General features: G+C 51.4%; 1 protein-coding gene, 1 long non-coding RNA gene and 1 other non-coding gene across 4 annotated transcripts in view; 2 read left to right on the top strand and 1 right to left on the bottom strand.

The window, feature by feature from the left end:
* Positions 1 to 3,278: 3,278 nt before the first annotated feature.
* The window catches only part of RRM2 (ribonucleotide reductase regulatory subunit M2), an 88,443-nt gene continuing 69,516 nt past the window's right edge, over positions 3,279 to 22,205 (bottom strand). Inside the window, exons 12-13 of the transcript NR_164157.1 lie at positions 15,519 to 15,697; positions 3,279 to 3,978 (exon numbers count right to left, since the gene is read on the bottom strand). The gene's annotated coding sequence lies outside the window, so the exon portion shown is untranslated. The remainder of the gene's footprint in view (positions 3,979 to 15,518; positions 15,698 to 22,205) is intronic.
* LOC105373424 (uncharacterized) lies at positions 12,816 to 15,615 on the top strand. Of its 2 annotated transcripts, XR_922789.3 has the most exons (3): positions 12,816 to 13,048; positions 13,946 to 14,004; positions 15,015 to 15,615. It is a non-coding gene; the product is annotated as an uncharacterized LOC105373424 (long non-coding RNA). The 2 variants fall into 2 exon arrangements; XR_007086208.1 differs by lacking the exon at positions 13,946 to 14,004.
* Positions 21,618 to 21,675, top strand: MIR4261 (microRNA 4261). Its single transcript, NR_036222.1, has one exon. It is a non-coding gene; the product is annotated as a microRNA 4261 (primary transcript).

Genomic DNA, 22,205 nt, shown 5'->3' with positions numbered 1-22,205 from the left:
AAAACAGTGTGAGTGTTTCAATTCTGTCACTCATGTGATCCCTTGGAGTTTTGTGTGTAAAATTTAAAAGCATTTAACAGAGTACAAACTGCAAGGTGTAACATCTTTGTTTGAAAAACACAAATTGAGTTCCATGTGGGGAAAGGAAAGAGAGATCAGATTGCTACTGTGTCTGTGTAGAAAGAAGTAGACATAAGAGACTCCATTTTGTTCTTGTTGCCCAGGCTGGAGTGCAATGGCGCGATCTCGGCTCACTGCAACCAATACAAAAAAATTAGCCGGGCGCGGTAGCTCACACCTGTAATCCCAGGACTTTGGGAGGCCGAGGTGGGCAGATCACCTGAGATCGGGAGTTTGAGACCAGCCTGACCCACACGGAGAAACCCCATCTCTACTAAAAATACAAAATTAGCCGGGCGTGGTGGCGCATGCCTGTAATCCCAGCTACTTGGGAAGGCTGAGGCAGGAGAATTGCTTGAACCTGGGAGGTGGAGGTTGCAGTGAGCCGAGATCGCGCCATTGCACTTCAGCCTGGGCCACAAGAACAAAATGGAGTCTCTTATGTCTACTTCTTTCTACACAGACACAGTAACAGTCTGATCTCTCTCTTTTCCCCACAGTTCCACCCAGTAAATTTTCACAAAGTGAGCATGCTTGAGAACCAGTACTTGGATCAAAAAATAGAACATTGCTGGAACCCCTAGAAACCTCCCTCCCTCGTGACCTTCCAAGGGTAAACACAGCCTTCTTTTTTTTTTTTTTTTTTTTGAGACAGGGTCTCACTCTGTCCCCCAGGCTGGAGTGCAGTGGCACGATCTCAGCTCCCTGCAACCTCCACGTTTCAGGTTCAAGCAATCCTCCCACCTCAGCCTCTCGAATAAGCTGGGACTACAGGCACCTGCCACCACACCTGGCTAATTTTTTTATTTTTTGTAGAGACAAGGCCCCACTATGTTGCCCAGGCTGGTCTCAAACTCCTGGGCTCAAGCAATCCACCCACCTCAGCCTCCCAAAGTGCTGGGATTACAGACGTGAGCCACTGCGCCCGGCCAACACAACCTTATGTCTTTTCTTTTCCTTTCTTATCTTTTCCCTCCCCTCCCCTCCCTCCCTTTCCCTCCCCTCCCTCCCTTCTTTCCTTCCTTCCTTCCCTCTCTTTCCTTCCTTTCTTTTCTTTTCTTTCTTTCTTTTTTCCTTTTATTTTCTTTTCCTTCCTTCCTTCCCTCCTTCCTTCCTTCTTTTCTTTCTTTTCTTTCTTTCTTCTCTTTCTTTCTTTTCTGACAGGTTCTTACTCTGTCACCCAGGCTGGAGCGCAGTGACACAATCTTTGCTCACTGCAACCTCCACCTCCCGGGCTCAAGCAATCCTCCCACCTCAGCCTCCCTCCCTGGGACTACAGGCATGTGCCACTACGCCTAGCTAATTTTTGTATTTTTGTAGACACAGGGTTTCCTCACGTTGCCCAGACTGATCTCAAACTCTTGGACTCAAGTGATCCACCTGCCTCGGCCTTCCAAAGTGCTGGGATTACAGTTGTGAGCCACCATGCCTGGCCAGCACAGCCTTATTTCTAATATGACCAACTAATGGTGCCTGTTTTTGAACTCGAATCGCCATCCACACTGTTGCATGAAGGTGTGGTTCATTTGTTCTCATTGTGGAGTATTCCATTACATGAATATACCACAATTGACTTACCCATTCTCCTCTTGGTAACATCCGGAGTACTCCCAGTTCTGGCTGTTATGAATAGGCTGCTAGGAACATTCTTGTACATGTCTTTTGGTAACTTATGTTTGCATTTTAATTGATTATATGCTGCCTAGAAGTCACACCATGGAGGATACTTGTATCCAGCTTAACTTATACTGCCAAAAACTCCCACTGATGCAGGCCAGGCGAGCCCCAAAATTGGGGCTTACCCCAGGAGGGTTTGTGGCTTCACCCAAGAAAGAAGGTAAGGGCGAGCCAATGGAGTTAGCAGTTTTTATTGAAGCAGCCGTAAACAGCAGCAGCAGCAGCAGAAGGGCTGCTCCCTGTGGGGCAGGGCTACCCCATAGGCAGTGTGCCCGGAGCAGCAGCTCAGAGGTAGTGTGTAGTCAGATTTATTGCCACTTTTAATTACATGCAAATTAAGAGGTGGATTATTCAGAAATTTCTAGGAAAAGGATGGTAGCTTCTGGGTCATCAGGTCATTGCCATGGAAAGGGGCATTAACTTCTGGGTGTCGCCATGGCAATGGTAAACTGACGTGGCACACTGGTGGGTGTGTCTTATGGAAAGCTGCTTCCAGCCATCCCTGTTCTAGCTAGTCCTCAATTTGGTGTGTGTCATGTGAGCCCCTCCTCTGGAGTGGAGGCCTGCCTCCTACTTCCCACCTGCAGCATATGAGAGTTGCAGTTGTTTCAAATCCTTCCTGACATGGGTATTCCCATCTTTTTAACTTTAGCCATTCCTAGGGGTAAGGAGTGTTGTCTCCCTTTGGCTTTAATTTGTATTTCCCCAATGATTAATAAAGTTGAATATTCTCTTATGTGTATATCTTTTTTTTTTTTTTTGATATGGAGTCTCACTCTGTCCCGCAGGCTGGAGTGCAGTGGCACGATCTCAGCTCACTGCAAAGTCTGCCTCCCGGGTTCAAGAAATTCTCCCACCTCCGCTTCCCATGTAGCTGGGATTACAAGTGCACACCACCAAGCCCAGCAAATTTTTGTATTTTTAGTAGAGATGGCACTTCGACATGTTGGCCAGGCTGATCTTGGACTCCTGATCCCAGGTGATCCACCGGCCTCAGCCTCCCAAAGTGCTGGGATTACAGGCATGAGCCACTGCACCTGGCCTGGATATCTCTTCTGTAAAGTGTCTGTTGAGGTCGTTTGCCCGTCCTCCTCTCGGCTTGCCTGTCTTCTTGCTGACTTGAAGGAGTTCTTCATATTCTAATTTCCCATCTCAGGTCAGATTTCTCCTCCCACTCTGCACTCTGGCTTCTCACGCTCTTCGTGGGGTCTTTTGTTAAACAGATGTTCTTAATTTTAATGCAGTCCAATTTATCATTGTTTATTTTGTAGTTAGTGCTTTTTGTGTCCTCTCTAGGAAATATTTGACCACCTCATGCAGATATTTTCCTGTTTCTTTCTAGAAACTGTACTGTTTTGCTTTGCCAATCTGTATCTACAGTCAATCTGGAATTGGCTTTTATGTACGGCATGAAGTAGAGATCAAAATTCACTTTCCATATGAATATCTGCTCAGTCAGCTTGGGCTACTGTAACAAAATATTGAGTGCCTTAAACAACAGAAATTTATTTCTCACAGCTCTGGGGGCTGGAAATCTCACAGCAAGGTGCCGGCAGGTTTGGTGTCTGGTGAGGCCTCTCTTCTTGGCTTGTAGATGGCTGCCCTCTGTGTCCTCACATGGGAGAACCATAAGGGCACCAACCCCAGCATGGGTCTCCACCCTCACGGCCTAACCACCTCCCAAAGGCTCCACCTCCTGACACCATCACATTGGGAGTTAGGGGTTCAACATATGAACCCAGGGGACACAGGCATTCAGTCCACAGTGCTCCACCCTGTGGGCTCACATCACCCCAGTTTCCCACCCTCCCTGGCCTGCAGGCTTTGCGGGTTCCATTTCCCCCACTCCGGCATGAGAGGCAGTGGGTGTGATTGAAAGCAGCAGATCTGCTGTCTATGGGGCCCTGGGGGGTCTGAGAATGGTGGGTCCACCTGCTCCGCAGGCCTGTGTGGAGTCCAGTGAAAGGATATGCTGAAGCTTGGAGCCCAGCGCCCTCTGTGCATTCTTGGTGAGTTCCCACCCAGATAACTTCATTCTGAAACAGGGTCGCTCCAGGGGTGTCCCTGTCTGGAAGGGACTCTGGGTGTCTTGCTGTGAGCACCACGGTGGCTCTCCCTTCACAATGAGGGCTGGGCTTCTCCAGACTCTGCAGTGAGAGAACTGGTTGAGATCCTGGAAGACTGATTGGACAGGAAAGAAAGATTTGGTAACTGAACCAAGATCATCCAACCCATGCCCCCAAATTCACCAAACACATACTGGGCACTAGGGAGCCGGAACATGGCCAAGGGCTGGTTCCTGCCCACAAGGAGGTGGGAGTCCATGAGGGAGAAAGGTCCACAGAGAGATGATTTCGGCACAGGGAGGAGGGCTGGGGCCAAGGCAAGCCAGGCACCATGGGTCACAAGGAGGGGCCCTTGTTCACCCGAGGGAGGGCATTGGCTTGGGGAGAGAGTTACAGGAAGTCTGGAGAAGGACTCCAGGCTGCTGGGCAGCAGGAGCAGGGATGGGGACAGCACAGAGGCTGGGGCAGATTTATCCCACCTGCCCAGCAGAGCCGAGTGGCACAGATTTCAGCTGTGCCCCTGGATAAAAGGGGTGATGGCAGCCAACAACACCAGCTATGGGGACTCTTTGCCACCTTCGCCATTCTGGGAGTAAGCTCTCAGCTACGCTGTGAGCAGTCAAAGCACCGATTCACTGAGCCCAGATTGTATCCGTCTCTGGCTATGCAGGGAGGATCTATTAAGCCCCTTAGGTCTCCACGGACGGGTGGGGCACCACTTCCCACTGAGTGGCATCTAATGGATAATGGGCATTCCCCCAGTAGGAAGATTTGGAAGCCGATCCCAACACACACACACACACACACACGCATGCACGCACACACACGCGCGCGCACACACACACACACATGCAAGCACGTCAGCTGCAGTCCCAGGGAGGCAAAGACAGTTATCAAAAGGAGAGGGTTTTCCAGACAAATATTCCAGAAGCATATTCCCACAAGAAAAGAAGAGACTGGGCAGACAAAACAATAGTGTCTACTCCACAGGAAGCAACATGGAGGTGCTGAGGTGTGTGGGGCAGGGGAGCAGCACCCCCGGCTTTGTACTATAGAAACTACTTTCCAGGCTGGGTGCGGTGGCTCACAGGGGTAATCCCAGCACTTTGGGAGGCCAAGATCAGTGGATCACTTGAGGTCAGGAGTTCAAGACCAGCCTGGCCAACATGGTGAAACCCCACCCCTACTAAAAATACAAAAATTAGCCATGCGTGGTGGTGCATGTCTATAATCCCAGCTACTCAGGGGAATGAGGCAAAAGAATTGCTTGAACCCAGGAGGCAGAGGTTGCAGTGAGCCAAGATTGCACCATTGCACTCCAGGCCCTGGTCGATGGAATAAGACTTCATCTCAAAAAAAAAAAAAAAAGAAAGAAAGAAAGAAAGAAAGAAAGAAACCACTTTCTGCAGCAGGGACTGACTGGGGAGGCCAGTTTGGCCACCAGGAGACAGGACAGGTCTGAACAGGCAGGATCCAGCACGTGGGAGGGAGGCCTTGAGCTGGAGAGGTGGGAGGGAGTTAGCAGGCACAGGGACGGGGCATCTGTTGGATGGGTGAGGGGCTGCGGAGGGCATCCAGGGTGATACGTGAGTGTCTGGCTTGGCACTGGGTGGATTGTGGTACCAGAACCTGAGATAGGCTCACATCAGGAGGGGCCATGGCTGGAGATGAGTTGGGTTTGTCCAGCTGGCAGTTGGATCTATAGCTCTGCAGCTTGGGAGAGAAAGATGCCAAATAAGCCCATGAAATCCTTATTAAAAATATTTTTGTTCACTGAAATTCAATATGAAAACAGCTCATGAAACAAAGAGTGAATCAATAACCCTTTACTCATCTTAAATTAACAAAGATGAGTGGCGTGCAATTACTTTCCATTACAGAATCCTTCTGCCCAAGAGATTCGGTGAGATCCTTGTCAAGAGTTAGGCTTTTAACATGTGTATAGGAAGCATATTCTTTTGTGTCTGCTCATCGATCCAAATGTTTGATGCCTTAATGATTTTATGACTCAGAATTGTTTATTCCTGCCTCCTGGGTCTCACTGCAGTCCCAGCAACACAGAGCAATGTACATTTTCAAAATGGGAAAGGCTCTTGTTGATCTGTATTTAATCTGCTTGGCAGAGCTGAGTGGCTTCCTTCCCAGCCCCTTCCCCTTAGGACTGGGTGGTCTCAGCTCTGCTCTGGATAACCTGGGGCCAGTCACCTGCCATCTACCCACTTGCTGTCCCTTCGGCTTCCTTCTTCTCCCCAAGCATCACTGCAAAAAGCCCCTGCTCTGCCTCTATTGTTTTTCTCTCTTTTCTCTTCCCAATTCCCAATTCCTTCTTTCTCCAATTATTTCTTATGGCTCTTACTTACTATTCATTTATACAAGAACAAAAATTCACATGGATGTGAAAAAGAAGTGAATCTGCTTATTCTAGAATTTCAAATAAGGGAAATTCTAGGGTGGCAGGCACCACTCACCCACTCATAAATTCAACAACTGGTGAATGTTTACTGCATGTCCATGGTAGTCCTGGAGATATCTCGGTGGCCAAAGGAGAGGAAGGCTTTTACCTATAGGAACTTAAAATCCAAAGGAGGATCCAGACTATAACTAACTACATGAATAAATGTGAAATTGCTCATGTGATCAATGTCACAGATGAGGGGACCATGGCACGAGGGGAACATTTAATGGGGGAGAGCTGATATAGTCAGGGAGGTCAAGGCAGGCTTCCTGGAGGAAGTGCCAAATGCACTAAACGATGAGTGTCATGAATTAGACAAAGAAAGAAGGGAAGGACCCACTCTATAGTGAAAACAGCACAGACAAGAGCCTATGTGGGCAAAATGATGGCACCCATGAGGGGCCAAAAGAGTCCAGAGAGGCTGGGGCGGGAGGTGAGTCTGAGAGGTGGGTGGGGACTGAATCATGAAGACCTCTCTAACCTCTTAAACGTTTTTGTCTTGTTTTTATCCCCAGGGTAGTAGGATACCATTTCATGTTTTAAACAGGGGGGAGACTATCAGATTGCCATTCAAAGAGAGAGCCTCGGGTTCGGTGTGGAGAGCGGGCTGAGCAGATCAGAGGGGTTCAGGGGCTGGAAGGCCAATTGCAGGTGGTGAGCAAAATGCAGTGGCAGCTGGGTGGCCATGGAGATGGAGAGAAAAGGGCAGAGATGAAAGAGATTAGGAGGCAAAGATGACAGGACTGGAGGTGACTGGATATGGGGGAGGTGAGGGAGAAGGGGTATCAAGATGATGTCTATGTTTCTGGCCCAAGTGACTGTGGTCATCATCCACAGAGGCCAAAGTCCCAGGAGGCGCTGGGCTGGGAGAGCAGATTGTGAGTCCTTTCTGGACATACTGAGTTTGAGTCGCCTCTGAGACAGCCATTCCCTCTGCACACAGACCTTCCGTCCGAAACCTCTTTCCTTCTTCCTGAAGTGCATTGGTGTGGAGGCCCTTTAGTGAGAGTCTCTTTGCAATAGCTGCTCTCAGCTTTTGTGTATCCGAAAATGGCTTTATTTTGCCCTCATCCTTCAAGAATCTTTTGGATTCTAGATTGTAGTCAATTTCCTTTGTGTATCCAGCTCTGTGTCTTCCATTATTGCTGTTGTGAAGTCAACTGTCAATCTGTTGTTGGTGTTCTGAGGGTAATCTCTCTTGTACTTGCTGCTTTTAAAATCTTCTTGTGGTCTTTGGTGTTCTGCAGTTTCACTCTGATGGATCTAAATATGGATTTCTGTTCATTTATTCTCTCTGAGAATTGTTATGGTTCCTGATCTGAGGATTGGGGCCTGCCTTTGACTATCACATGTCCCCTTCACTGTCTTATCTTCTTCTGGAACTCCGGTTAAGCATGTGTCAGAATTCCTCCTTCCACTGCCACCTTTTTTTGCCTCTCTTTTGTGTTTTTCATGTGTTTGTCTCTGAACTGCATTCTACCTCTTGTTCATACTTCTCTTATTGCTGAGTAGTATCCAAGCTATACATTCCATGGGTACTCTTTCACATAATAGATGTTTAGGTGGCTTATATTTTTAGTTATGGTGAATACAACTATTATGAAAAATCTTATTCAAGTCTTTTTATGCAGATAGATACCTTTTCATTTCTTGTGCATAAATACCCAGAACTGAAATTTCTGGGTCATAGGTTAGACATGTGTTTAACTTTTTTTTTTTTTTTTTGAGACGGAGTCTTGCTCTGTTGCCCAGGCTGGAGTACAGTGGTGCGATCTCAGCTCACTGCAAGCTCCGCCTCCCAGATTCACGCCATTCTCCTGCCTCAGCCTCCTGAGTAGCTGGAACTACAGGTGCCCACCACCATGCCTGGCTAATTTTTTGTATTTTTAGTACAGACAGGGTTTCACCATGTTAGCCAGGATGGTCTCGATCTCCTGACCTCATGATCCTCCCGCTTCGGCCTCCCAGACACCCTCTTGGCCAGGCGCAGTGGCTCATGCCTGTAATCCCAGAACTTTGGGAAGCCAAGGCGGGAGGATCATATGAGGTCAGGAGTTCGAGACCAGCCTGGTCAACGTGGTGAAAACCTCGTCTCCACTAAAAATACAAAAATTATCCAGGGGTGGTGGCAGGTGCCTGTAGTCCCAGCTACTCCAGAGGCTGAGGCAGGAGAATCACTTGAAACCAGGAGGCAGAGGTTGCAGTGAGCGGAGATTGCACCATTGCACTCCAGCCTGGGTGACACAGCAAGACTCCATCTCAAAAAAATAAATAAATAAAATAAAATAAAAATAAAAAGGACCCTCTCAAACTGTGTGTTTGTTTTCCATCCAGCATCTCTGCCATAAATCTTTTTCAGACATCCAAACTGCATATTCCTTGAAACGGAAGGTATCTCTCTCCCTTTCCATGTCTCTCCTCCTGCCTCATTCCCTGAGAAACTAGAACCAGAAAAGTAAAAGAACAGAGCCTTCCCCCACCTCCGAGTGTCCACGAGCAGCAGAGGGAATGGAGAAGAGAATCATTCATCCTGTATGAGGTGGAAGTCTTCATAAGCCCCAATAAGCTGGACTTGAGTCTGAAAGTGAAGAGAAAACTCGGTTCTGCCCCAAAATGTGTTCTGACCTGGGGAGGATGCTGAGTGGGACATACCGAGGGCACTGGCCGCAGATATCACAGGCCCCATTCAAGCTGACTCCCCAGGAGACTGTTCGCTGATCGTCAATACCGAGCCCCACTCACCGCTCAGGCCTCAGCCCCTGCTCCACGCCCCCTCCTCATTTCTCTAAGTCTCCGACCCCTGGCCTCCAGCTGAACTAGCCAGGACAATAGACAAGATTCAGGGTGAAGCAGACAGATTCTGAAGAGACGGTAAGGACAAAGAAGGCTTAGGGAGCTGGGCACTGAAAACAAAAGTTTGCTGGATTCGAAGCAGACCACGTGGGGTTGCTTGTAACCACTGCGTCTGACTTTGCTCACACTATGCCTCGGCTGTGTTAGAGCCGTGCTCCTGGGGACCACCAGGGACCATGCCTATGCTTCCTGTAGGACCCCATAGGACCCACCCAAGGTCTGCACCTGGCTGGTCTTGGCGACGCCTGTTAGTGGCACATGACGACATCTCTGACCACATCAGGACGGGCCGTGGCCTCGGCGTTCAGTGCCACCCATCTTGGAAGAGGAAAAGGGACCCTGAGGCTTGGCTCCCAGCCACAGACTAAGTATCTGCATAGGGCAATTGAGAACAGATGCGGCAATGAGTAATTAAACAAATTAGTCAGCGCAGACGTGTTCACAAAAGCCAGGCAGAATCAATGGGGCGCCGATGCATTAGCGTCCTGTCCCTAATGGCCTCGGATGCTCCCAGCTAGCTGCTCCTCTGAGAGCAAACCGCACCTCCCTGCACCCAGGGCTGGGCACAGCGCTGAGCAGGGCTGGCGGGGTCACAGCCAGTGACCACAGAAGCCAGGTAGGCTGCTCCGGTGGGCTCCATCAGAGACTTGGCTGCTTCTCTGCCAGTGGACAGAGTGGCAGCTGCCCACCAACCGTTCCTCCCTCTCCTCCCCATTTTCTCACACATTCCTCTCCCTGGAGTCTCCTTCCCTGCTCTCTTCACCTAGCTGATGCCTAGGTATCCTTTAACACTCGCCCAGCATCACCTCCTCCAAGAAGGCTCCTCTGATCCCACAGGCTGGATGGGGCCTTTTTCTGGGCTCCCATGCCCATCACGGGTCAGTCTGCCCTGGAGGTTGGGCTCTGCTGTTGGACGAAGCCAGGCCCCAGGTGAAAGAAGTCTATCTTCTGCTTGTCTCAAGCACAGGGGCTCTGTCCCAATGATGGTAGTTGGGATGCAAGCAACAGAAACCCACTCTTGGCTAATTTTAGGGGAAGAGAGGAGTGTGCTAGAAGGCTAAAGTATGCTCAGAAAATCACAAGGACTGCTGAATGGCCTCACCTAGAACAGGGACCAAGCAGCTCTGGGGATCCAGCTAGCAGGAAGCACCAGCAGTCTCTGGGGGTGCACTTGGGGGAGAAAGGCGCAGCCACCATTTGAGTCTTTGTGTCATCAGCCCAAGGCTCAGAGTTCAAATTCTCTGGAGAAAGAGCCTGAGAGTTTGACTTAACCGTGAGCCCCATCCCCTTGGTCAAGGTGGAGCCGGAGTGCATGTCTGGGAGACCGTCACATGTATGTATGTATGTATGTATGTATTTATTTTTGTGAGACAGAGTCTCACTCTGTCACCCAGGCTGGAGTGCGATGGCACAATCTCTGCTCACTGCAACCTCCGCCTCCCGGGTTCAAGTTATTCTTCTGCCTCAGCCTCCCGAGTAGCTGCAATTACAGGCTTGCACCACCACGCCTGGCTAAGTTTTGTATTTTTAGTAGAGAGATGGGGTTTCACCTTATTGGCCAGGCTGGGCTCGAACTCCTGACCTTGTGATCTGTCCGCCTCAGCTTCCCAAAGTGCTGGGATTACAGGCGTGAGCCACTGTGCCTGGCCAACCCTCACATGTATTAATTCATTTACCCCCCAAGAACAATCTATGCGTAGGTGCCACTATTGTTACCTCCCACTTAATGGTTGAGGAAACCAAGGCATGGGAGGTTAAGCAGCTTGCTTGAGGTCACACAGCTAGTGGGTGGCAGTCGGGAAACAGGAGCAGCCAGGCCAGCCCGAGACCCATCCTTAAGCCACACCACCCCTGGGATGGTATGATAAACACAGGAATGTTGAATGAGTGAGAGAATAAGCTAGTAAACTGACAGAGGGCTGGCTTCTCTCGAAAACAGCTGCTTCCTGGTACATTACTGCTTTCCGAGCCAGATGTGGGTGGGTGTTTGGCCCTGGCTGATGGATGGCTGATATTTCCAGGGGAGAAGAAAGGATGGAACACCTGTCATTGCCGAGGTAATTACTTCTCCCTCGCTGGCCTTTTGGCCAAGCTGCAGCCTGAACGCTCACTGTTCTTTCTCCAGCATTTGCAGCAAGAGCTTAGAAAAAGAGGAGGTGGAGAATCTGTGTTGTTCTGGATGATCGCAGAGGAAGACGTGGCTTTAGAAAACGGGCCAACGGCTGGGAACAGTGCCTCTCGCCTGTAATCCCAGCACTTTGGGAGGCCGAGGCAGGCAAATCGCTTGAGCTCAGTCACAGAGCAGGAGCATCACCATCTTGGACAAACACTGCCATTTTAAGTTCCTCTTGATTAAAAACCACCTAAATCCACCCCAAAAACAGCAGCCTAATGGCTAATGTCAGCATGATCATAAACTACAAATGACACCTCCAACCAGACACATTCCAACCCTGAGATAAACCTGTCTCCAACCAGAAACATGCCAACCTGAGATAACTTCCCTGCCGACCAGAAACCTTCTCACCCCAAAATAAAACTCTCCTCCAACCAGAAACATTCTGAACCTGTGATAAGCTCTCCCTCCCTAAACCCGTAAATACCCTTAGTCTATAAGAGAGAGTGCCCCTGAGAGAAATCGGCCAGAAGCTCCTCTCAGGTTTATTCTCCAAAATAAATCTGTCTTTGACTGTTGAGCCGCTTTTCATGTTTCTTTCTTCCTTCTTCAAGTCTTACATTTGGTGCTGAAACCCAGAACATTCCAAGGAAAGGTTCCAACATTCCAAGCCACTGTCCTTACATGCAAGGTATGTAGGAAAAGTAAAATATAGTTTTGGTAGAAAGATTGCAGGGAGGCATGAGAATGTGGATTTTTGCCAAGTTTGAAAGGTTAAAGGATTTTTTTTTCAGTTGGATAAAATAAAAATGAAGGTTTGGGCTAGTTGTGAAAGGCTGATTTTAGAGGCAGTTCTGTGTGTAAACATATTGGCTAAAAGGGGTATCCTCCAGTTTTTCTGTAAATTAAATTTTATTAAAATAAAAGCACAGTGGGTTTCTCTTAGAGCACTAACCTGCTCTTTAACAAAAATTGTAAAGGGCTATAAAAAGTCTATAAAAATCTTACCTTGTGGTCAAATATTAAAATTGAGTAAATATGTCTATAAGGATTTATTAATTCGGTTTAACATTCATAGTACACTAATGTAAAGGTGAAATTTGGCTTATTTGGTATAAAAATTATACAGAAAATATTGTCAAATACGAAATGGTGCTTGGCTTTCTTTGGGCTATATTTGTGTAGATATGTTTTTGGTATGTGTTCCAAGGTTGTGGGAGACTCCTACAATCCTGATATGTTTTAGTGTACATTATCAGTAATAATTATAATTGTTATGTTAAAATTGTTGTGTGCCACGTAGGTAACAGATTTCCTCATCAATTGTGTCTTTAACTGCGGCCACCCTAAAACTTTTTGTCATCCATGAACAATTGTTGTCTTGTTTTGGTCCTCTTTAGAAGGTGGTTTTATGATCAGCTATAAAGTTCTGACAGGTGCTCTTGAATGCAGGTTTCTGATAACTTTGCAGATTGTGACATCAGAATAGAGGAAGGACGTTCAGGACTCTTGAAGAGCTGGAATGTTCATTGATATCAGGCAGGACAGGAACTGACTGCGTGAACTGAACTAACAGACTGGAGTGATCTTTTTGATGTTTTGCTCGGAATATTGTTGGTCCTTTGTTTGCTTTTCAGAGTCAAAGAGGCTTTTCTTTTGAGCTATCAACAGCTTTTGACAGTTTGGTGTGCTCCCATGAACAAAATTTGAGGCATGCTTATTTCTCTCTGCCTGGTTTTCTCCCGAGTCTGGAAACTACCTGTGAGTATCCTTAAATTATGGCAGTATGGTTATTTGCAAAGGTGCAATACAAGTCTGTTTTCTTTCTTTCTTTCTTTCTTTTTTTTTTTTTTGAGATGGAATCTTGCTCTGTTCCCCAGGCTGGAGAGCAGTGGTGCAATCTCGGCTCACTGCAACCTCCACCTCCCAGGTTCAAGCAATTCTCCCTGCCTCAGCCTCCCGAGTAGCTGGGATTACAGGCATGCACCACCATGCCCAGCTAACTTTTGTGTTTTTTAGTACAGACAGGGTTTCGCCACATTGGCTAGGCTGGTCTTGAACTCCTGACATCAGGTGATCTGCCCGCCTCGGGCTCCCAAAGTGCTGGGATTACAGGTGTGAGCCATGGCACCCGACCAAAAGTCTGTTTTCTTTTATGGCAGGACACAATTGGAAGAACTGGTTGTTTTAGCAAGGCTTTGACTGGAATGGTGTGCTCTCCTTTAAGGAATCAAACTTGACTTGTGAAGCCAGTAGAGCCCTTAGATGGCGGGCCTCATATTTTGTGTGCGCGGTCCCCGTGGGACTCATAATTTGTGCGCGCAGTCCCTGTGGGCCTCATATTTTGTGTGCGCGGTGCCTGTGGGCCTCATATTTTGCGCGCGCGGTCCCTGTGGGCCTCATATTTTGCGCGCGCGGTCCCTGTGGGCCTCATATTTTGCGCGCGCGGTCCCTGTGGGACTCATAATTTGTGCGCGCAGTCCCTGTGGGCCTCATATTTTGTGTGCGCGGTGCCTGTGGGCCTCATATTTTGCGCGCGCGGTCCCTGTGGGCCTCATATTTTGCGCGCGCGGTCCCTGTGGGCCTCATATTTTGTGCGCGCAGTCCCTGTGCAGGTTTCTGACCTGAGGTAAGTAAAGGAATGTCACTTTCTCACAGGCCAGGAACCCCAGGTTATCTTGGAGCCTCAAGAGTGGAAGAATTCACCCAACTCACAGGTATTTGATGGTGCACTTCCATGGCTGGGATTGGCTTTAAAAAGGTCTTATCTCAAATTCCTTCCATGAAACAGAGTTTTTTTGAAGCCAACTTAAAAGGCCTATGTAAAAATAATTATTCTTGCTGCACCTTATACAAATAATCTGGCCACAGCTGGGTGCGGTGGTTCACTTCTGTAATCCCAGCACTTTGGGAGGCTGACATGGGTGGATCACCTGAGGTCAGGAGTTGGAGATCAGCCTGGCCAACATGGTGAGACCCCATCTCCACTAAAAATACAAAAATTAGCTGGGCATGGTGGCACATGCCTGTAATCCCAGCTACTCAGGAAGTAAGGCTGGAGAATCGCTTGAACTCAGGAGGTGGAGGTTGCAGTGAGCTGAGATTGCACCATTGCACTCCAGCCTGGGCAACAAGAGTGAAACTTTACCTAAAAAAAAATCTGGCAAAGCAAACTAGTCATACCATGATTTGTTTTTTTTTTTTTTTTTTTTTTTTTTTTTTGAGACTGAGTCTCACTCTGTCACCCAGACTGGAGTGCAGTGGCACGATCTCAGTTCACTGCAAGCTCCACCTTCTGGGTTCACGCCATTCTCCCGCCTCAGCCTCCCGAGTAGCTGGGACTTCAGGCGCCCGCCACCACACCCAGCTAATTTTTGTATTTTTAGTAGAGACGGGGTTTCACTGTGTTAGCCAGGATGGTCTTGATCTCCTGACCTTGTGATCCGCCCACCTCGGCCTCCCAAAGTGCTGGGATTACAGGTGTGAGCCACCACACCTGGCCCCATGATTTGTCTTTTAATATAAATGGAAAACTGGAGAGAGAGAATTGTGTTTCAAAAACTGTAGCACACCTGTTGTTAAATTCTAGTCTTGTCTGAGGTTTTTCAATTTTTATTGTTTTCTACAGTTTGGATTAAATTCTAATTTTTCTGGCTACAAGTCTCCAAAATAATGTTTTCAATTTTTCCTTTTTCTTTTCCTTCCCCCCCCCCTTTTTTTTTTCTAGCTGGAGATCACTAAAACCTAAGCTGTGCTTTCTTGAAGCCCTGTGAGCTGAAAATTAGATGTTTCAGTGGGCGCTGCCTCTGGGCCTCTGAGGCAGAGTGTGCTACCCAGAACAAATCGACCTCTTCCACTCCAGCACCATGTTCAGTGTCCCATAACGACAACCCTCTCTCAGCAGGAAGTAGCCAGAAAGAGCACGTCGCCCCTCATCCTTTTATAACTATAGGGTCTGGATTGACAAAGCAGGAGCATCAACATTTTGGACAAACAGCAGCATTTTAAGTTCCCCTTGATTAAAAACCGCCTAAATCCAGCCCCCAAAAAATCAGCCTAATGGCTGTCAGCATGACCATAAACCACAAATGACACCTCCAATCAGAAACATTCCAACCCTGAGATAAAGCGCCCTCCAACCAGAAACATTCCTACCCCGAAATCAAACACTCCTCTGACCAGAAACATTCCCAACCTGCGATAAGCTCTCCCTCCCTAAACCCTTAAATACCCTTAGTCTGTAAGAGAGAGTGCTCCTGACAGCAATCGGCCAGAAGCCCCTCTCAGGTTTATTCTCCAAAATAAACCTGTCTTGGACTGTTGAGCCACTTTTCGTGTTTCTTTCTTCTTTCTTCAACTCTTACACTCAGGAGTTCAAGACCAGCCTGGCCAACATGCAAAACCCCATCTCTACAAAAAAAAATACAAAAAATTAGCCAGGCATAGTGATGCACGTCTGTATCCTCAGCTACTTGGAAAGCTGAAGCTGGAGGATTGCTTGAGCCAGAGAAGGTGAGGCTGCAGTGAGCCAAGAGCGCACCACTGCACTCCAGGCTGGGCAACAGCACGAGACCCTGTCTAAAAAAAAAAAAAAAATGGGCCAAAGATGGTGAGACTCAGCTTGGCAGCAGGGTCTCCCAGCTCCCGTGAGCTCAGCTTAGGGCTTCTCCCAGGATTAGAACACAGAGGTCACCGTAAACATGGAAGAAGAATGACTTTGGAGGAGATGTTAGTTAGTCCACTTCTGGAGGACCAGAAGTGGAGGACTGCCCTATCCTGGACCACAACATTCTCTGATGATTGTCCTGCTGAAGATGCACCCCATGGGTGGGGCTCCCCTGAAGCCTGTGCATAGCCCCGAAAGGGATGTATGCGGTACATACAGGGGAGAGGCAGGGCCTGAGACACAGAATGGGCCTGGGGAGGGAAGAGGGTTTCCTCCGCCTTTGCAGGGTGTGATTGTTGAGTTCTACACCTACAACGACAGAGCGGACGTGCTTAGGAGCGTGCTTGTAGGGAGGGAAACCTGGACCCTGCCCCATTGGAGGTTTCCATGGTCAGACAGGCAGACAGGCCCAGCAGGATCCAGGGCCTCTGAGAGGGGCCCCATCCACCAGCAGCAGTGCTGAAAGTCTGAGTGACCTTCCTCCCAGAGCCTGGGCCTTAGAGAAGGTATGGCAAAGGCTCTGCTGGGCCCTGGGAAACCCTAAGATGGGACAAGCAGGACAGCAGGTAACAGGCACTTAGTTCCTGCATGGGAGTGAATATTAGAATCTGTTGGTCTTTAGTATTGCAAAAGTGACTTTATCTTCAACTTAAAGGTTGAAAGGACCAGGAGCACTGGGGGCCACGTAACTCAGTAACACCCTCCCCTGGGCCCACCGCCCAGCCCCCCTACTCCTAGCCTGCAGGTGTGCCCGCCCCGCAGGTATGGCCACCCACAGGTGCACCCATCCACAAGTGTGCTCTCTCCAGGCTTTGCTCAATGCCCCCCAGGCCTTGCTGGAGTTCCCCCAGCCCTTCTGCTTCCCAGTGCTGCCTGGGGCAGGGCAGGAGGCCATCTGTCCCAGGGCAGTTTGAGCAGCCCCTGTGCCCAGGAGTCTCCCTGTCCCCCTAGGACTGGTTGGGCAGAAGGAACATGACGAAACGAAGAGCCAGGAGAGCCAGGCAGGGAGAGGTGGAGACAGCCCGTGGAGCCGGCAGCTGCAGACCCAGCCTCCCAGCCTAGGCGCTCGCGTTACCCTTCACAGAGCTGTGACTACCTGTGACTTCCCTCGATCCGCACACCAGCCCTCGGAGGCAGGGATGTTGTCCCCACTCGAAGGAGGGATTGTTGAGGCTCAGAGGCTGAGTCAGCACAATGCAGGACTGGGTTATGTGAGTACAGACCTAGGGCCTGGAGAGACGCCATGGCAGGGGTAGGGGCAGAGGCACGGGCCAAGCTGCCCTGGAGTAGGGCCTTGTCTGAGTGTGGGAAGCTCACTGGGGTGAGCTGAGCTGGCTCCCCTGGACCCCAGAGCCCCTTCTCAGGCAGCCAAAAGGCCAGTGTTGGTGCTTGAGAGAGGGAGGTGCTGCTGAGGAGTGTGGTCTCAAAAGGGATGCGCTCCCAGGGACCCCAGCCACGCAGTCTCCTTCCCATCAGGGGGCAGGGGACCCCAGCCCTGTCTTCACTCTGAGGCCCTGGCATCAGTCACTCCTGTCCCGGCTGCGGCCCTCCCTCTGGCCTCCCGGCTCTGGCTTGGCATCTGGCCACAGCGAACCCGCCTCCTCCCTGCCCAGCCCCATCGCCCTGTGCGGTCACTGCCTGTTTCTTGTCTGCTCCCTCCTCCGGATGGCTGCTCAGGCCAGGGCTGCTGGCTGTCCATCCCCGGAGCCCGGCCCCCCATGGGATCCACACACAGAGGGTTTTGCTGGGTGGGACAACGGCTGGTCCTGGACTCTTCACACCCCCACCCAGCAACCAGGACACAGCCTGGGTGGGCAGACTGACCTCCTGGGCACAGTGTCCTCAACGTCCACTCCCAGGCACTGCCAGGCAGTGCCGGCTGCTGGTCACCACAGAAACAGCCACAGTCTGGACCCAGGGCTCCTGCTGGTCTCTGCCGATCCCTAATGCCACTGTGTCCCGAGATGAAACCCAGCTCTTTCCAAGGAGCCATGGAAGGAAGGCAAGAAGGCTGCCTGGGAGACCTCAGATTGCTGCTGAGCCGTGGGCCTGCAGTTGGTGGGGGCTCGTGGCCCACCCCACCCCTCTCTGGCCACCTTTGCTCCCCGCGCCTTCTGTCTTCACACGGGTCTGAAGCTCCTCACTGCTTAGGCCTCATATGAGGACAGGGGTCTGCAGTGCCGCAGGGTCTTGCCAGAGGAAATACAGGGTGAGAAGCCACACATCTGATTAATTGCTCACCTAATAAGGACTTCTGACCACAGCATATAACAGCTGTGTGGTGCCAGGGCTGCTTCGGCCACCCCACAGTGGCAGGTCCCTGGGCGGCCGGCTCTGCCTTGCCCTGCTGGTAGCAAGACGGCTGCAGCTGCACCAGGCACCATTTCTAGCATGACTGTGTTCAACACTGGAAGTGAGGGTAGGAACAAAAGGAATTTCCTCGTGTGAGTCTCTGTCTTGTCCAAGCAGGAAAATTCTTTTCCAGAGCCTCCTTAGCACGTTTATCCTAACACAGCATCGGCCAGGCCAGGTCACTACTTACCTGTGGCAACCAGTCCTACACAGGACCACCGTGACAGCCTTCAGCCAGTCACGACACGTCCCTGAGGCCCAAGAACACTGCTGCTGGGCAGTCAGGGAGAAAGGCAGGAGGCTGTCGGGGACCAACTCACAGGTCTGCCACATGGGTCCACCCGAGGCTCACCGCGACCTCTTCTCCCTCGCTTCCCACCCTTGGTCTCCAGGTAAACGCGGCTCACTTTGCCTGGGATGCTCCTCTCTCCCACACCCTCTCATCCAGCTGAAGCAACCTCACCCTTCAGGGCTCACCTACTGCCTGACTGCAGGGCTGGGCCAAGGTCTCCCCCGCATGCTCCTGCTGCTGGCTCCGGTGCTTCAGGGACCCATCACGGCGGGGACTCGGTGCTCCCCAGGGCTCCGCCAGCACTGTCCGCTCAGAGGCCCTGTGTCCGCTCTTCCTTCCTTCCAAGTCCAGCCCTCTGCCTCCGAACCCCACCCATCCTCCTGGGACCACCTGAGCCGCTGCCTCCTCTGTGAAGCCCCTCCTCTGCAGAGAGGCTGCCTCACTGCCTCTCTTCCCATTCTGTGCCCACCTAGCCCACCTGTCACATGACCCCTCAGACGGTGGGTCTTCCAGAACATGCCTGTTGCCCTCGGTAGCTCCCCAGGAGCTCAGACCACACCTGTGGCCCTCACCACCCTGCTAAGTGCCTTTTCCAAGGCCAAGGGATCAGAATGAATTTTAGATTAAACCCGTAGCCACGACCACATGGCCTCGTGAGGGTTTTGGTGGTCACGTGCCTCACAGGCCTTGGCTGTAAACCCACACACAGTAGCACAGGGCCAGGTTACCCGCACCGCTGAGAACGGAGACGCCGAGAGGTCTAGCAAGCAACTTGCCCAAGATCAGGCACAAGGCAGCCTCAGAAATGGAACTCGCATGTTTCCCACCATGCCAAGGAGGCAGGGAGGAAAGTCAGGGGGCGGCTGTGACCAAGGAGTGACAGATGAGGACGCAGGGGAGGGAAGGACAGGACAGTGGGGCTGGTCAGAGGGCAAAGTCTGGATGCCCCCGTAGAGCCCCAGCAGGAACCCCACTGAGCCCGCTCCAGATGGAGGTGAGTAAAAGGCAGAGGCACTTAGGCAGCAAGTGCTAACTTGGGCCAGAGCCCATGCTGGGCACGGGACACCAGGCCGGCCAAGCCACCCGGGGCCCACCGGTGGTTGGGGAAATGGACACGTGCCATAAGGCAGTGAAGCAGGACGGAGAAGTGCACCGTTAGCCCAGGAGCCACGGGGGGACGTTAGTAACACAACCTGCCCTGCACAGGCCTAGGCCCCAGTCCTCACACACACACCCCATCCCATTTGGGCCCGCACAAGCTGGGGAGTAGGAACTGTCATTTCTGTGTCACAGATGAGCCAGGAGGAGGCACGGCAGGACCAAGGCCTTACCCCCAGAGCCCCGCCAGTCAGCAGCCTGACCAGGAGGTGGACACAGGCCTGCTAGCGTCACACCACCGCCTTTGCTTAGAGGCCACTTCTCTGTCCCAGGAGGCCTTTGTCCACGACTGAGCCCGGAAGCTGGCCACGGCCTTGTGCACCCAGGAAGCTGGCAGCCTCCTTCCTCTTCGAAGCTTTTCCAGCTCTCCCGGTTCTAATACCAAGTAAAATCTTCTTTTCCTTTCAACGATGACTCATAAGATGAAATGAGGCGTTTTGGAGTAAATGATGATGGGACTGAATTATTCAAACTCCTCCAGCTTCTGAAATGACTTTCATTTGTTTATGTTTGGCATTAAGCGTTGAAATGGACAGAGGGTTCACAGGATTTATGTTAATTTGTGAAATGTCTCTGGGTTCCACGCTCCAGCCCAGGAGCAGCCATAATCTAAATGTCTAGGGACCTCCCTGTGCCAATTAATCCAAACTGTCTTTCTTGCTGGTCGTTTTGACAGCTTGGGTTTTGGCTCTGCAATCTCATGCTTGCTCTCAGAGGCCCAGCCCCATCCCCAGGGTGAAGAGGGGTTGCTCTGTGGCTGCTGCGGCTCTGCTGGGACATCCTGAAGCCCAGGGTCTGTTGCTGCCCATGGTGCAACTGCCCAGTTAGGGCATGGGACTTGGGTAACCTGAACCTGTTACGTTCATGACTGACAGGTGCCCAGGAGGTCCCCGGGCGTGTGGTAGGCAGTCAGCGATGTTTGCTACAAGGACCGCCTCAGAGCTGTGCCCACACGAGCAGAGCCCTCCGCCCCTGAGCAGGACAGGCTCCTGCAGGCGCGCTCGGCTGGCATCTTGAAGAACACGTGATGCAGAGGCTGTTTGCAGAGGAGTGGGCAGAATGGAGGGACAGTGGGGGACACTGAGGCACCCGGCACCCAGCCCCGTGGAAAGCTGTTGCCGCCTCCAGGCCCAAAACAGTCTCACAGAGCCTCGTGAGAAGGAGGGGCTGGAGGAGAGGAGGCCACCAGAAGGGAGAAGTCTCCCTGCCCCACAGCAGCAGCTCCGGGAGGAGGCACAGGAACATTCCAACCTCTCCTGCTACACTTGCATCTCTGGCCAGGGCTTCCCAAATGCAATGATCATTAAAGGGCAAGTGAGTCATTGACAAAATCCATCCAGGCCAGCCCCCCGAGATCCAAGCTGGGTAGAAAAAGCAAGGAACCGACGGGGGAGGGCTGGCAAAACAAGGAGGCCACCTGAGGCTTCTGGCTTGTCACCTAAGCTCTTCTGCAGCGGAAGGGCCTCTGCAGAGCTCCTGTAAGACTAGGGGCTGCTCAGAGCAGAGAAGGGAGCCCAGGGCAGGTCTGTGTGAGGGTGTGGCCTCCCTGGAGGAGTCTGAAGGAGGACCCTGAGCCCAGGAGACTGCAGCGCAGAAGGGACATGCGGGTCAGAGACCAAGAGAGGCCAAAGCTACCTCCTGCTGGAGGACAGAGGCTGGCTCTGGAGAGGGGTCATCAGTTGGAAGCTGAGCCATGGAGAGGAGGGTCCTAGAACCCATGAAGCTGGGGGTTCAGGGTCCGAATGCACCACCTTTGGGTACTGCCTGTGGCAGCAGGGGGGGGTGGAGTGGCAGTGCCCAAGTCCACAGTGGGACTGACCCCAGACAGGCCCCCTAATACTTTCAGTCTTCCCCTGCTGGGTGGTGGAAGTGGGTTCCTCCCAGTTCCTGAGACAGGAAACAGGGACCCAGGAGACCAGCCCCAGCGAGGGGGTGCCCAGCCGCCTCTCCCGGCCCCTTTTCCACTTAGGCTTGGGCTACCTGAGACTGCTCTCACACCAGGGGATTGAAAACCCTGGTCACAAGTGGGCAGGGCTCGCAGCCCGGCAGAGAGACCTCTGTCCTGCGTGGGAAGGCTTCCCAAAGTGTGTTCTCCAGAGCTGGAGCTCCCCGAGCTGCTGTAGGGAGAGGTTCTAGAGTCACCACGGTTGGAGAAGTCCTTTCCTCCTCTACCATCACCTGAGCGTGACAAGATTCCCTGGCCCATTAAAGGCTCTGAGAAGTCCTTCAGGGAAAACGCCCCTGGGGAAGGCTTTGCTCAGTGCCAGGACATTTACATGTTTGGGTTGGTTCACAGAATAGGACAAACCCAGGTCAGTCCCCAGGCTGAGAAAGCCTTGGCTGAACAGCTTTTACCTCCCCCTTCCCACCCCCTCCTCTTTTGAGCTCTCTTGGGACGGTGGCTGCGGCTCCGGGAGCTCTGGGCTGTCACAGAGCAGCTCCAGCCCCCG

The sequence above is a fragment of the Homo sapiens genome, chromosome 2 (genome assembly GCF_000001405.40).
Source record: "Homo sapiens chromosome 2, GRCh38.p14 Primary Assembly".
Lineage (NCBI taxonomy): Eukaryota > Metazoa > Chordata > Mammalia > Primates > Hominidae > Homo > Homo sapiens.
The sequence above is the reverse complement of the archived record's forward strand: the minus strand, read 5'-3'. Positions and strand labels throughout refer to the sequence as shown.